This window comes from Homo sapiens, chromosome 5, assembly GCF_000001405.40.
Source record: "Homo sapiens chromosome 5, GRCh38.p14 Primary Assembly".
Taxonomy (NCBI): domain Eukaryota; kingdom Metazoa; phylum Chordata; class Mammalia; order Primates; family Hominidae; genus Homo; species Homo sapiens.
The window spans coordinates 75,446,889-75,462,426 of record NC_000005.10 but is presented as its reverse complement, the minus strand read 5'-3'; the positions used below and the strand labels follow the sequence as shown (position 1 = coordinate 75,462,426).

Below are 15,538 nucleotides of genomic sequence, written 5' to 3'. Positions count from 1 at the left end.
AGTGCAAACCCTATCGTGAACTATTTATGCGAGGGATCTAGGTTGCACGCTCCTTATGAGAATCTAATGCCTGATGATCAAGGTGGAACAGTTTCATCCCAGAACCATTCCCCGCAACCTGTCTTTGGAAAAACTGTCTTCCATGAAACCGATCCCTGGTCCCAAAAAGTTTGTGGACTGCTGCCTTAGATCATATCTTATATTTATCACCTCTCAATGTTTTCCATCTAATTTTGGCCTCTATCCTACATTTGTTTCTTTCTAATAATTACTTCTCAGCACCAAAACAAGGAAAATGAGACCAGTGAGGAACTTACCTCAATCACAAAATTTAAGGAAGCAAGAAAAAACTCAATAATCAAGATAAATATTTTATTGCAATATTTTTTAAAAGGACTAAATTACTGTATAATGAGCAAAATATCAAAATTTTTAATAAAGACAGGATTGATTGTTACTGAATGAAACAATCTGTTAGAAGTTTGGGGCACATATGTGTGTGTAATATAGTGATGTGAGCTTTATTGCATAATACATCCTCTTAACCAAATCTGTCATTTCCTTTGCCCTGTAGACTCATCTTCTCTCGTTTTTTTTTTTTTTTTCACTTTGTTGAGATGTAAAACTTTTGTGTTATTCACAGACTTTCTATACCACTTACAATTCATGCTTTTCTCTTCTGTGCCACCTATGCTCCAGATCATAGATGGTAGAAATGGCTCCCTTGTCTGCATAAGAAGGTGTTTGCCAGAGAAAATGGTGAATTATGAGCTATATGTTCTTTTATTTTTCTAAAACTTTAATAAGTATATTTAACACATTACAAAATGTAAAACATTTTAAGAAATACTGGCTGGAAATATAATGGGAATTATCATGGAGTAAAAGTTTAAAACTCCTGGGCTACTTACAGCAATAGACTGATCATCTGCTTTACTTTATTTGGTTCTTTAGATTAGCATTTCCCAATCTTTTTGGCACCAGGGACCAGTTTCATGAAAGACAATTTTTCCATGTAGTGGGTGACGGGGGATGGCTTTGGGATGAAACTCTTCCACCTCAGATCATCAACCATTAGATTCTCATAAGGAGCGAACAACCTAGATCCTTTGTATACACAGTTCGTTGTAGGGTTTGTGCTCCTATGAGGATCTAATGCCGCTGCTGATCTGACAGGAGGCAGAGCTCAGGTGGTAATGCTTGCTTGCCTGCTGCTTACTGCCTGCTGTGCGGCCCAGTTACTAACAGCCCATGGACTGGCACGGGTTTGTGACCTAGAGTCTGGGGACTCCTGCTTTACATAGCATATGTTTCATTTCCTCCAAGAAGCTATTCTCAGTAATTAGACTTGATTCTTAACATGCCTGGATATTTATAATTCAGTTAAATTTATGATCATTATTTATGAATGTTGGACGTTATCGCTTATGTCTTTCTGTATTTATAATTACTGAAGCAGGATATGCATTGTTTTTCCCTTTTGCTTCTTTCTAGCACACTCTACTTCTCATTTGTAGGTTTATTATTGTCCAGCACATACTGATTCAGGAAATTTAACTTGAATCCTTTAATCAGTCAGAACCATGATTTCTTATCTTAAGTTGTTTCATAGCCTAAAGAAAATGGTAGAGTTAGTTTATATTGTGTTTGCTAAATAAACTGATGAGATAAAAGGTGGATGTTGTTAAGGGAGGGAGAGAATAAACAATAAACCCTGGGAGGAGTACAGGATGTAAATTGTGTTAAGCAAATAAGTTCACTGTCGTGTTGCCCAGAGCGGATTCTTTTCCCTCCAAGGTTAAGAATCTTTTTAGGAGAGGATATTGATTGACTCTCTCTACTGTATCTGGTGGAAAAAGAGGTGGTAAATGTGATGTATTCCTGTCATATTTTAATTCATTTATTGAGATTAAAAACAAGGATGTAAAACATTCATTTTTTATATTCTTGAGTCAAGAGCACTGAATCAAAAAGTTGACATTTTCACTAAATGTTTACACCTTAATGCGGAGTTTTCTCTAGATAGCTCATGTAGATCTTATGTAATATTCATTTTATTTTTTTCCTTTAGCTGGAAGTGCTCCTGGTTGTTACTATCAAAGACATGTAAAAGCCTAGAAGTTAATTTTAGATACTTAAAGGGAAATGTTAACATTTTTATCTTGCTTTGTTAAATTTCATAAGATTTGATAAATGAGATATCAAGAATATTTAATGAAATAAAATTATTAATGGGCATTTACTTTTGAATAATGGAGTAAGAAAAAAGTAGTAAATGTCTACTCTAAAACTTATTTTGGCCTTAAAAAATATATATGCTTTTAGCTCGGCACAATAGCTTGTGCCTGTAACCCCAGCAACATGAGAGGCCAAGGTGGGAGGATTGTTTAAGGCCAGGAGTTCGAGACCAGCCTGGGCAACATAGCAAGGCTCCATCTTTTTTTTTTTTTTTTTTTTTTTTTTTGAGACGGAGGACTCACTCTGTCACCCAGGCTGGAGAGCAGTGGCGCAATCTCGGCTCACTGAAACCTCGGCCTCCCGGGTTTAAGCAATTCTCTGCCTCAGCCTCCCAAGTAGCTGGGATTACAGGTGCCCACCACCACGCCCAGCTGATTTTTGTATTTTTAGTAGAGACAGGATTTCACCATCTTGGCCAGGCTGGTCTTGAACTCCTGACCTCGTGACCCACCTGCCTTGGCCTTCCAAAGTGCTGGGATTACATGCATGAGCCACCGTGCCCAGCCAGCAAGCCTACATTTTTAAAAAATTTTAAAAATTAGCAGGGCATGGTGGTATGTGCCAGTAGTCCCAGTTGGGAGGCATGAGGATCACCTGAACCCAGGAGTTCAAGGCTGGAGTGAGGCTGTGTTCATGCCATTGCACTCCAACCTGGGCAATAGAGCAAGACCCTCACCTCAAAAATAAATAAAAATAAAAGTTATCCTTTTGGTGGTGTTCTCACTAGTTAACTCAAAGCATTTGATGAAAAATATCAGCTCTGTTTTAGAAATAGATGTTTGTAGCATATGTGACAACTCATTTGTAAGAGTAGTGAGTGAAATTTGGCTTTTGGTAACTGTGCCTTTGTACATTCTTATCTTCAGACAAGTTATTTGAGCAGAAAAATAAAAAGTAACAAGTCTCCCACCAGCACAGAATGAGTATGTTCATGTTTTGGCTTTGGGGTGTAACACTTCTAAGGATATAATTAGCTTTGCTTTTCATTTTCTACTTTTTCTCCACAGCCTCACGATTTTGATGAATGTCGATTTGATATTAGTGTAAATGATAGTGTTTGGTATCTTCGTGCTCAGGATCCAGATCATAGACAGCAATGGATAGATGCCATTGAACAGCACAAGGTAAGATCCCTAATGTTTACCTGTCCATGGAGGACTAGGTAAGAGATTGTTGACAATACCTTAAAAAAAAAGTTGACATGTGACATTAGTTACTGAAACATTGAACATTATTTGGATGATAAAGATTAAAGCAGTTCATATGTAAATTTTTGAAATAATTTTTATTTTTAACACTTTAGTTGTACTAAGGGTATTTGCTATGATAAATATTACTCGGCTGGGCATGGTGGCTCACGCCTGTATTCCCAGCACTTTGGGAGGCCGAGGCAGGTGGATCAGCTGAGGTCAGGAGCAATACCAGCCTGGCCAGCATGGTGAAATCCCTTTTCTACTAAAAATACAAAAATTAGCCGTGCTTAGTGGTGAGCACCTGTAATCCCACCTACTCAGGAGGCTGAGGCAGTAGAACCGCTTGAATCCGGGAGGCAGAGGTTGCGGTAAGCCAAGATTGGGCTACTGCACTCCAGCCTGGGCAACAGAGCAAGACTCCATCTCAAAAAAAAAAAAGATAAATATTTTTCATTGTTAACTACATCAAAAATATACCCTTTTTCATAAAACACATTTCGATTTTTTATTTAGGTTTTGCTTCATAATAAATACCTTTTTAATGATCTAAATAAAAGGATTTTTGAAATAACATTGGATTATAAAACCCCAACTTATAAAAGTTTCAATGTTGATTTTTGTTATAACTTTTTGGGTAAATTCTTAGTACGAACATTTGTAAATCAGTTATTCTTTGTAAATGTGAGGCTATCTAATGATAAACCTATAGAAAGTCTTTTTTATATAAATATATAAGGTACATTCATATAATTTAAGCTAGTCTTTGACTTCTGTTAATAAATATTAAGTAGACTAAAGAAATACATTAATAAATCTGTATTATTAGCTAATTCAGTAATACCATGATAAAACAGAGAACGTTCTAAATCCACCATGTCATTCTTGAGTATGACTTAAGAGAAGTTTTGCTTGTTTACGTACTTGCCTATACTTGTTCGTTTGAGTTTCACAAAGTTGTAGTTGAAACACCTGTTTTGGTTATTTCTAACAGGCACAAAACACACACACACATACCACACACACACACACACACACATTTTTAACAGGCACAAAACACACACACACACACCACACACACACACACACGCGCGCCTATACCCATACACCCAAGAAAAACCAGTCTGGCTTGAGAAAGAAAAGCTAACACGATTGATAAAGAAGTATGCGATTGTGAAATCTCAGGCACTGTTTTGGGTATTTTTAACAAGCACAAAACACACACACACACCCCTACACCCACACACCCAAGAAAAACCAGTCTCACCTGAGATTTCACAATTGCATACTTCTTTATCAATCGTATTAGCTTTTCTTTCTTGGTTTATTGATTTAAGATTTCTCCCAGCCTAAATAAAATTGACTATGTTACCTTTCTTTTTTTTCTTTGTTTTAGCTTTAGGACTATATATTTAAACTTTAGTGTTAAGTTTTTAAAACATTTTCTAAGTCTTAGTTATCTTGGTAATGTTACTTCAGAAAAGTCTAAATATGGAAAAAAATTATTGTTTTTCTATTATTTAAAAGAGAAATGAGCTACTATTCAAAAAATCTCAATGCTCTGGAGCCAGGCCATGCATGCAGCCTCTGCCATGTATGACATATGTGAGCTTGGCTGTGTTAATTAACCTCTTCTTAGTGTTTATTCTCAGCTGCCATGTTGGTACTTCTGCTCAAAGTAGTAGTAAGACATAAATGAGATAATATGCAAAGTTACTTACCAGAATGACTGATGTATTTCCCCATTTATGGCATATAGGAAAAGCAAGAGACTTGGAGTCTCAACTAAATTCACTAAATTATACCATCTTGTTTCTGGATGAAGAGTTTTACGTTAGGTGAGAGAAGCTAAATGTGCATATAAGGAGAACAGCCTGTTTCATGTTATTTAATCAGGGCCAGCCGTCTCACTAGTGATTAAAGATGTTATTAAGTAGAATTAATTTCTATATTTTTAATGGAGATGACCTTTAAGGGCTTAATCAGTTGATTTTTATTACAGGGCAAGTTTTTTTCTGTTTTAATTAAACATATTTTATTTTGCTCACTTTTCTCTGTTAAGTCCAATGACAGTTCCTTTGCAAGGTTCCCGTTTTGTGTTTTCTTCCTTTAGTGAAGATTAATGCACGAAGTATATATTTCTCCTTTAGTGTTGATTTCTTTACATCTTTGAACAATGGATAGATTTAATCTTTGGGTCTCTCTCAGAGCAGTGGGACTTAAGCTGAGATAACAAATTTTGAGTGATTTTTAGTTCCTGAAAAAAATACTCAACTGCAGGGTTGTGATGCATTGTACAAGTTTGCCCTTTCTTTTTTTTTTTTTTTTTTTTTTTGAGATGAGGTCACTTTGTCACCCAGCATGGAGTGTGATCTCGGCTCACTTCAGCCTCTGCCTCCTCGGTTCAAACGATCCTCTCACCTTAGCCTCCCAAGTAGCTGGGACTACAGGCATGCACCACCGTGCCTGGCTAATTAATTTTTTGTATTTTTGGTAGAGACACGGTTTCGCCATGTTGCCCAGGCTGATCTTGAACCCCTGAACTCAAGTGATCTGCCCATGCCAGCTTCCCAAAATGCTGGGATTACAGGTGTCAGCCTCTGCAGCCAGCCACCCTTTCTTATTTTTAAAGATAGTTTATTTGTAGACTAGGAGAAATCATTGTTAATTGTTGTTAATATTATTTAATGTACTAAAGTAAAATATGTGATGTATGCCAACTGAGCAGCCTATCAGTGAATATTTAAGTGAATTCATATTTAGAATATGAATTCTAAAAGTAAATTGTTGAGTTATTTAACATGTAAGAAGGAGAAATTTCAAATGTTGTCATTGTTTTTTTTCCTCCCATAGACCAGGGCTAGTGAGATGTTTCTTGATTCATTCTTCAGTATCATTAAGGAATATTGATTGTGGAAGCTAAGTTTAGTAATTTTACTATTTAAGTATGCATTATCGTCTTGATCCTCTATATAAAACTGTACAGGCATAATGATGATAATGATAGGAGCTAACACTTATTGAGGATCACCAAGTACTAATCATTGTATTAAGTGCTTTATGTGTTTTATTTTCTCCCTACTATCCTGAAAAATAAAGTAGTATTTTGCAGAAGAGGAAACAGGTTTAGATTAAAATTAAGTAATTTGCCTGAGACTGTACTGTCTTTTAGTTTGTGATTTCTGAGTATTCAATTTTGTGTTAATTCTCTTGTCTGTCTGTTACCATTAGTAAACGGACTGTTTATGAACAATTCCCATGAGCTAACCTCCTGCAAATTGTGGTGTATAATCTGAGTTCTCCTACTATACCTATGCAAGATAAATATGAACTCATTTTTCTTTTCGCCCGTGGATTGTCAAACAGGACAGTATATTATATTGGTAACTGTTTCAGTAGCGGATTTCAGACTCCAGAGTCTGGCAAATGTGGATTTGAATCCTGGCACTACTATGTATTAGACTAGTGCAAAAGTAACTGTGATTTTGGACCATGATTTTTTAAATCATTTTAACTAGGCTCAAACACATCTTTATTAATCAAAATAGGAACCATTACAATCAACACATTTTTACCAATAAGAAATAAGTTTGTTTATTCCTGTAGCATAAAAATCTGTGCTTCGGGATTCTACAAACTCTTGGAAAGCATTTTCTGCATCCTGCTGGTTGTGGAAGCATTTTCCCTGCAAAAAGTTGTCAAGATGCTTGAAGAAGTGGTAGTCAGTTGGCAAGAGGTCAGGTGAATATGGCGGATGAGGCAAAACTTTGTAGCCCAGTTTGTTCAACTTTTGAAACATTGGTTGTGCAATGTGCAGTCAAGACATTGTGAAGAAGAATTGGGCCCTTTCTGTTGACCAGTGCTGGCTGTAGGCATTGCATCGCATCTATTTGCTGAACATACTTTTCAGATGTAATGGTTTCACCGGGATTCAGAAAGCTGTAGTGGTTCAGACCGGCAGCAGACCACCAAACAGTGACCATGACCTTTTTTTGGTGCAAGTTTGGCTTTGGGAAGTGCTTTGGAACTTCTTCTTGGTCCAGCCACTGAGCTGGTCGTCACCAGTTGCTGTATAAAATCCACTTTTCGTCACATGTCACAATCCGATCAAGAAATGGTTCTTTATTGTTGTGTAGAATAAGAGAAGATGACACTTCAAAACTTGCGATTTTTAAAATTTTCACTCAGCTCATGAGGCATCCACTTAATTGAGTTTTTTCACCTTTCCAATTTGCTTCAAATCCCAAACAACTGTAGAATGGTCGACATTGAGTTCTTCGGCAACTTCTTGTGTAGTTGTAAGAGGATCAGCTTCCATGATTGGTCTTAGTTGGTCGTTGTCAACTTCAGATGGCCAGCCACTACTCTTCTCATCTTGAAGGCTCTCATCTCCTTTGCAAACTTCTTGAAACACCACCGCACTGTATGTTCGTTAGCAGTTCCTGGGCCAAATGCATTGTTGATGTTGCAGGTTGTCTCTGCTGCTTTATGACCCATTTTGCACTCAAATAAGAAAATCTTTTGAATTTGCTTTATTTGCTTTTTGTCTGACATCATTTTTGTAGTCTAAAATAGATATAAACAGCAAGTAATAAGTCATTAGCAAAAAACAAAGCAAGAAATGCACATTAAAATAATGTATAATATAACCACATTTATTTAAGAATGTAATCCAATATCAAACGGCAAATTTCAACAATGCAAAAACTGCATTAGCACCAACTAATACTAGCTAAGTGGCCTTGGTAAGTTATTGAAAGGAGGAAAATAATGATAGTTTACGGTATGTGTTACCATACCCTCAGCACCCCCACACCTTAACAAAAATAAGCAACAAAATAACCTATCCATGATAAAACAATAGTATTATACTTTGCGGTTAGCCTGGGCACCCATAATTCCAGCTTATTCAGTTCATTTCACAGTTACTTCATCAGTGCACCACTTGCCATTAGTAGACCTGTATTTTTCTGTTCTGATGCCATTGGATGGGCTTTTGTTAGGGCTTACCTGGAAGGTTTTAGTTATTTTCAACATCTGGAGGAAGAGGTCGGGGGTTTCTTTTCCATCCTTCCCAGAAGACCCTTATGCTGATTATAAATTCTTTGTATTGATCTGTTTCACACATGCACATTCACGCACCCTCCACTCGTGCTCTCTCTCTCTCTCTCTCACATACATACACGCGTGCAAACAAAATGAGTTTTATTTTACAGGACTTCTAAACAATAATAATGGTGATAGTGATGAAGATAGCTAACATTTTTGAGGATTTATGTATGCCTAACATGATAAACAATTTATATATATTATCTCATTTTTTTCCTCACTTTCATGAGATTAGCATTATTATCCTGTTTTTACAGATTAGGAAATTGGGGCATAGAGAGGTGAAATAATTTGTCCAAGGTCAATCAACTAGTTAGTGAAGAAGTCAGCATTCAGACCTAGGTCTTTCTGACCCAAGAACCAGGGCTTTTGGCCAGGAAGCAATTCTGTGCTGTAAGTATGTATTTCTGTGAATTATGTTTTGTTGACATAAATCATGGGCTTCTTGAATCACAGTATTCTTGTATTTTCTGTTTGTTCCTCATATCTATATTATTTAGACCATAACTTCTTAAAGACTCAGACATATTCTTATTAAACTTCTTTGTAGGAATCAGCAAAGCATTGGGCACGCAAATTTTTTATTTGAAATAATTTACAGTATTGTAAAACAGATTTTATGGGAGAAATTTGTGATATTTGAAGGCTTTTCCCCCTTAAAATCCTCATGGTTTGTATTACAGTGATTACTGACAGAATACTTTCTGTCTAGCTTTACTGTTTTTGCCCTCCTTGGCATCCATTCTAGAATGGTTGCTCACTACAAGAAAAGTTTTAACGAAATGACTGTATGATTTAAATATTCTCAATGTATTAGAAATCACATAATTCAATGTGACATTATACAGCAGCCCCTGCAGAAAAAAGTTATTCCCGAGGTCATTCTTAAATTCAAAAATTATATTTCAATTTATAACATAGAAAAGGACATATGTATACCAGACCAGTAATTTTATTTAGAAATATTGTGCTGGCTTTAATCTGTGGAGTCCATTAATATTCTGCATTTCTCCTTATGATTTTGAGACAATGCTAAATTATTTTTAAAGATAGGGTTTTGTTTTAAATATCTTAGCCATCTTTCATGCTGTCTTGAGGTCAAATGAGATAGTGTTTGTAAAAGTTCTTTAAGAAAAAACTGAAAGCTGTATGAATTAAAGTTAAGATTGTGTAAAGTTAAGCTAACATTTTTCTAGTAAAGAGGTGCCTGTTGTCAAAGGGCTCTGTGAGCATTTTCTGTATAATTTGTCAAAGATATATAATAAACCACTTTTGATGCTATTATTTTTTTAAATTATAGGATTATTTTCAGAATCTTCTACAATTAGAATACATGTGATTTTGATTAAACAAAGTTTCTGCTTACTATGAAAAAAATGTACTCCCCCACTTCAACCCTTCAAATCCCTAAAACTAGCACGAAGGCTTTCCTGACGCTAAGAGATTTAAAAATCATTTTGAAAAAGTTAAGTTTCTTGAAAGCCTCTGACAGAGTTTATGGTAATCGTATAACATTCTCATTTCCATAAAGGAGCAACCTTAGTAGGTCCTAAAGTGTTGGTGCCTATGGGCCACACAGACTTTCCCCACGTTGTGGAAATTATCCATGACACAAAGATTCATATGAAAATATAAAATTAGGGAGGAAGAATCCAAATGGTAATTTTTACAGATGTTGATTTTCTGTAGTGGGAATCTAGAGGCAATTGTCTTGTCATTTAATATTTGTGGAATTGTTCTTACCCTTTGTGAAGGCCAAATTCATGTGTGAAGCATCAATGAACTTTGAAAGAAAGGTTTATTCTCAACCTGAGAAGGTTAGAGATTTCTGTTTGAGGAAATTATGTGGAAAACACTTTTTGAAAGGAACATATATTTTACTTGAAATAAAATGAAGTGTGAAAAAAGTTTTTTACTGAGAGAACCCCATTGTTGAGCCATCTAAGTGAAGCTCAAGACCCATTTAGAGATCTTTTAAAAATTTTGTTCCTTTTGCCATAATGAAATATTTCCCCCATGCTCTGTCAGAGTCAGTTTGATTTGCTGTGTTTTTTCTAATTTTAGGAGCAATTTCTACTTAGTTGACACTTTCATTTTTTTGTCTTAAATTTGACATAATCTTAGGAAACTTCTAAAATAACTAGATGGCAGAATTATTAACTCTTAGTAGTTTTTAAATATCAAGGTCATATAAAGTCATACTGTTGGTTTGTGCCATTTAAAATCAATATTGGATTTTAACAGATACCCTCTCTATACTTATCTGCCTTATAAATTATATAAAACTTAGCTTTGCATTTGAATGTGGTTTAACTGGGAAGTGTTTAAGAATGCAAATATAACATTATTTTGAGTGTTTACTTCATATAAGTAATTTCATGAGTGTGTTAGAACCAAGTCTCCATTTACCTATTTGCATCATATGATGATGACAGAGGATCAAATTTTACTTCCTCTTTACATTCAGGAGTTTTAAATTTTGAGGGAAGGACGCATAAATAGTTCTTACAGTAGTCGGGGCTCTGCCATTTTCTCAAGCTGTAGAAAAATCAGTACATAGAATCACAACTGACCTTTATTAAGCAGCAGAGAAACTTCATGTTGTCTCTGGATGTTTCAGTCATTAAAATCAAGAATTTGGTTCCTAATAATGGGAGTTAACTGCCAAATTGCATGCGGTAATCCATACACGGTTAGTAAATTTTTTTAAAACACCACAATGTAGATAGTATCAAACTACCAGCATTTTTGAGGTTGGTGAAATCAAAGAGGAAAACAAGGTACCAACCCCCTTTAGTTTTTATAGTCTTCTGGAATAAAAACAATTCAGTTGTCGAGGGTTTATAAAGTAACTTCATATTTGTCAGTTTTTCCTGCCTGCAGTATTTGAAAACTGGCATCTGAGACATTAGAAGTTTATTTTGTCAAGGTTATGGATCATGACCCATGACACAGCCCTAGGAGGTCCTGAGAGCATGTGCCCAAGGTTGTTGGGTTACAGCTTGGGTTATGTTTTAGGAAACATAAAACATCAACAATACATGTGAGGCATACATTGGTTCAGTCCAGAAAAGCCAGAAAACTTGGAAGGGGTGGGAAGCTTACAAGGTCATTGGTGGATTCAAATATTTTCTGATTGGCAGTTTGTTGAGTTATTATCTAAAGGCTTAGAATCATAGAAAGAAGTGGCTGGGTTAAGATAAGGGATTGTGGAGACCAAGGTTATTTCTTACATAGATGAAGTCTCATGGGTGGCTGCCTCACCAGAAACAGTAGAAGGCAAATGTTTTCTATACAGATCCTTAAAAGGCTCTAGACTCAGTCTCTTCGGGATCAGAAAAAGACCTGGATCGGGAAAGGTTCTCTATTCTCTATAGGAAGTAAGTTTCCCCTATGAGACAGTTTTGCGGGGCCATTTCAAAATATGTCAAAGAAATACATTTTGGTGGAAAATACTTTGGTTTCTTTCAGGGCCCTACTCTCTGCCATGTGCTGTTATACTAGAGTCAGGTTGGAAGCTATAGAGTCTGTTCTGTTAGTCTTAGAATCTCTGTTTTAATGTTAATGCTGGTCAGCCCCGTGCCTGAACTCCCAAGGAAGGAGAGTATAATGAGGCATGCCTGACCCACCTCCCTTCCAGTCATGGTCTGAACTAGTTTTTCAGGTTTAGTTGGGTCCTCTTGGCCAGGAGGAGGGTACATTCAGCTAGTTGGTGGGGCACCTAGAATTTTATTTTTGGTTTACACCCAAATACTTCAAAAAGTAAATCTTAAAGAGAGAAGAAAGGTCAGTGATTTTTCAGGTGGGTTCTTCTGTCTGGGAAGGTGCTTAGCTTTTACCAAGATAGTAAAAGGATTGGGAAGATTGTACACTGAGTAGTGAAGAAAGAAGATATTTAGATAGCTAGTCATATTAACTAATGCAACCAATGAAGAGATGTAACTTAACAAGATATTATGTCAAAAAGACAGGGAGATTGTTAAAAATCAATACAAAAAGTTTAGGAAGTTCATTTAAGGGGGGAAAAGCCAGAAGATTTGACTGCTGCTTCATAATAGGATGCTGAAATGGGTAGTAAACATAAATAAAGGTACTCCATGCTATTAATCATCAGAAAAATGCAAATGTAAACCTCAGTGAGATAACACCATATACCCATCAGAATGGCTTTAAAAAAAAAAACACCACCACCAAGTGTTGGTGAGGACGTGGAGCAACAAGTAATCTCATACATTGCTGATGTAAGTTATAAATTGTGCACACACTTGGAAAAAAATTTTTCAATATCTACTAAAGCTGAGCCTAGAGGTCCCCTCTGCTCAGATGCATATTGAAAATTTGAAGCTCTCACAAGTATTGATGTCATAGGTCCATTCATTTTAATTAAGCTGTTTAGATTATGGGGACTAGAGGCCAACCTATATTCCCTTGAGAAATGGGAAAATTCCCAGCAACCAAGAAAATTTAGAATACGCTACCTGCAAGGCAAGTTGGAATTGTATACTTAACTCAAGTGCTTTTATTGTTAACAAAACTCCAATCACCTGCCCTCAGCTACAATTAATATATCTGTTTCATCCTATTATTTCTTTTCTCTTTTTTGTAATTCCTGTTTATTCATAACTTTTGCTCTCCTATCCTATTCTTAGTTTCTGTTTCCTTGGTTTGTCATTTTTCTGTCTTTTGATTTCAACCCCTAACTGCCTTAATCTCTTAGTATGTCCCAAAGTAAAAGAAAAAAGTCTAATTGCCATTTCACAGCACATTACTATGAATTTGTTAATTATTTGTTTTTAAAGAAAGTTTAAAGGAAGGGGTAGGATTGGCAGTTATACAAGTATAATGTTCTGAAAATGCATTTTATGATTTTGCATAGAGTTTACCAGATTTTCAAGTTTTTATAATGTTTACTATGTGTTTGCCACTAACAATTTAGGTTACTGTTACTAGATTTTCAGCTTATTTCTCTATCCTTTTTTCGTCTGTAATTTGTAAACTATTTAGATAACAAGTTATAAAAAAAGGTTAATCTAGAGTTAAATAACTGTTCCATATAATTCTTACAGAAGATATTAAAGAAAATGAGATTACATACTGCAAAAGTTATTTCTGTACAATGCCCTAATGTGGTATTTAAATTTTTATTTAATGAAGAGGGAAGATTTCTGACAGTCACTGGGACACATGGGATTCTGCTTTTTTCTATATTTAATATGGAAAAGTAATGGTGGGAGACATGGCTTATACATATTGACAGCAATATAAACTGTTTTCCAATTTTGCTTGCTGAGTATTAGGACATTAGCTGGGAGAAAATGTTTCCTAAAGTCAACACAGAACTGCACTTTTTCATCAAATCTTTTTAATCACTTAAAAGTATTGTACTTATATTATCGTTATTGCTTGGTACATATTCTCAGCTTGTCTGATACTGAGAATGAAAAACAACATTGGGGTAGGAATAATAAAAATAGGTAGCAAAGTAAATTAGTATCCCGCAGGTTAAAATATTACCGTAACTGAAAACAGTTCTATCATTTTTCAGTCACACAGGAAGTCCATGTACTTCATAGGCAAATAATGATTAAGATAGGAATGCTTATATTGCTGTTCAGTTCTTAGCCCCTTGTTCTTTTTAGTAGTACTCCTCTGATATATAGAGGGATAGAAGGAATAATTCAGCACTTTAATGTGTTATTTAATTCTCACAGAAGCCCCATTTTACATAAAAATGAAATTGAATGGATTATGAGAATATTGATTATTGATTGGTAAGTAGTAACATTATTTTTTCAAGAACAGCAACCTAAAATACTCATACAGTTAGCTCTAACAATGTTTACAAGTCTTAAAACTATTCCTGCAAATTGTTGTATTACATAAATGTTATTGACTCCTCAACCATGGTTTTTTAAAGTAATATTTGTTAATTATAAAGTAAGAAAATACAAGCCGGGCATGATGGCACATGCCTGTAGTCCCATCTACTGGGGAGGCTGAGTCAGGAGGATTGTTTGAGCCTGGAGTTTGAGGCTACAGTGAGCTATGATCACATTATTGCACGTTAGCCTGGGTAACACAATGAGACCCTGTCTCTTTAACAAAAAAAAAAAGGAGGCCGGGTGTGGTGGCTCACACCTGTTATCCCAGCACTCTGGGAGGCTGAGGTGGGTGGATCACGAGGTCAGGAGATCGAGACCATCCTGGCGAACATGGTGAAACCCTGTCTCTACTAAAAGTACAAAAAAAAGATTAGCTGGGCGTGGTGGTGGGCACCTGTAGTCCCAGCTACTCGGGAGGCTGAGGCGGGAGAATGGCATGAACCTGGGAGGCAGAGCTTGCAGTGAGCCAAGATCGCGCCACTGCACTCTACCCTGGGCAACAGAGCGAAACTCCGTCTCAAAAAAATAAAAAATAAATAAATAAATAAATAAATAAATAAATTTTTTTTAAAAAAGGAAGAAAATATAGAAACTACCTTCAGTCTTATAACCCAGACAACGGTATATTTTTCTCTTCTGTGTACCTTTTCCTTCAAAAACATTATGGATGGAGATAGGATTTGGGGAAGATGGCAGAGCAGGAAGCACCCAGAATCTGTCTCCCCACCTAGACAACAATTACCCTAGCCAGATATGTCTGATATAACTGTTTTGAAACTCTGGAGTCTGCTAAAGGCTTGCAAGTTCCAGGGAAGGCTTGAGTGGTAAATTGCTGTTAATTTCGGTTAATTTCAGCTCTTAACACAGTAGTAGCTTCCTGTACCTCCACCCATCCCAGCCCCGTGGCAGGCAGCTGTGCATGTGTTCCTAGAGCAATCCATACACTTGTGGGAGCCAGAGTGAGCACAAAAGATTCTGTCCTCTAAATACTAGGGATCTATGCTCTGACTGCAAGTTATGGCTTCTTATCACAGAGGTGCAGAAAAAGAGGTGGGTGACCATTATTGTTGCAGGTCCCTCCCCCTCTGGCTGTAGTGATTTCTAGGAGACTTGAAGGGC

The 15,538-nt window shown here is 36.1% G+C and overlaps 1 protein-coding gene across 9 annotated transcripts in view; it reads left to right on the top strand.

Annotated features, from left to right (window-relative positions):
- The window catches only part of CERT1 (ceramide transporter 1), a 143,496-nt gene that overhangs the window by 49,555 nt on the left and 78,403 nt on the right, over nucleotides 1-15,538 (top strand). For all 9 annotated transcript variants that reach the window (XR_007058566.1, NM_001379003.1, NM_031361.3 and 6 more), the window contains one exon: nucleotides 3,246-3,362. Coding sequence is in view for 8 of the 9 variants with exons in the window: in NM_001379003.1 (NP_001365932.1) it covers nucleotides 3,246-3,362 (117 nt within the window). In the remaining variant the exon portion in view is untranslated. The remainder of the gene's footprint in view (nucleotides 1-3,245; nucleotides 3,363-15,538) is intronic.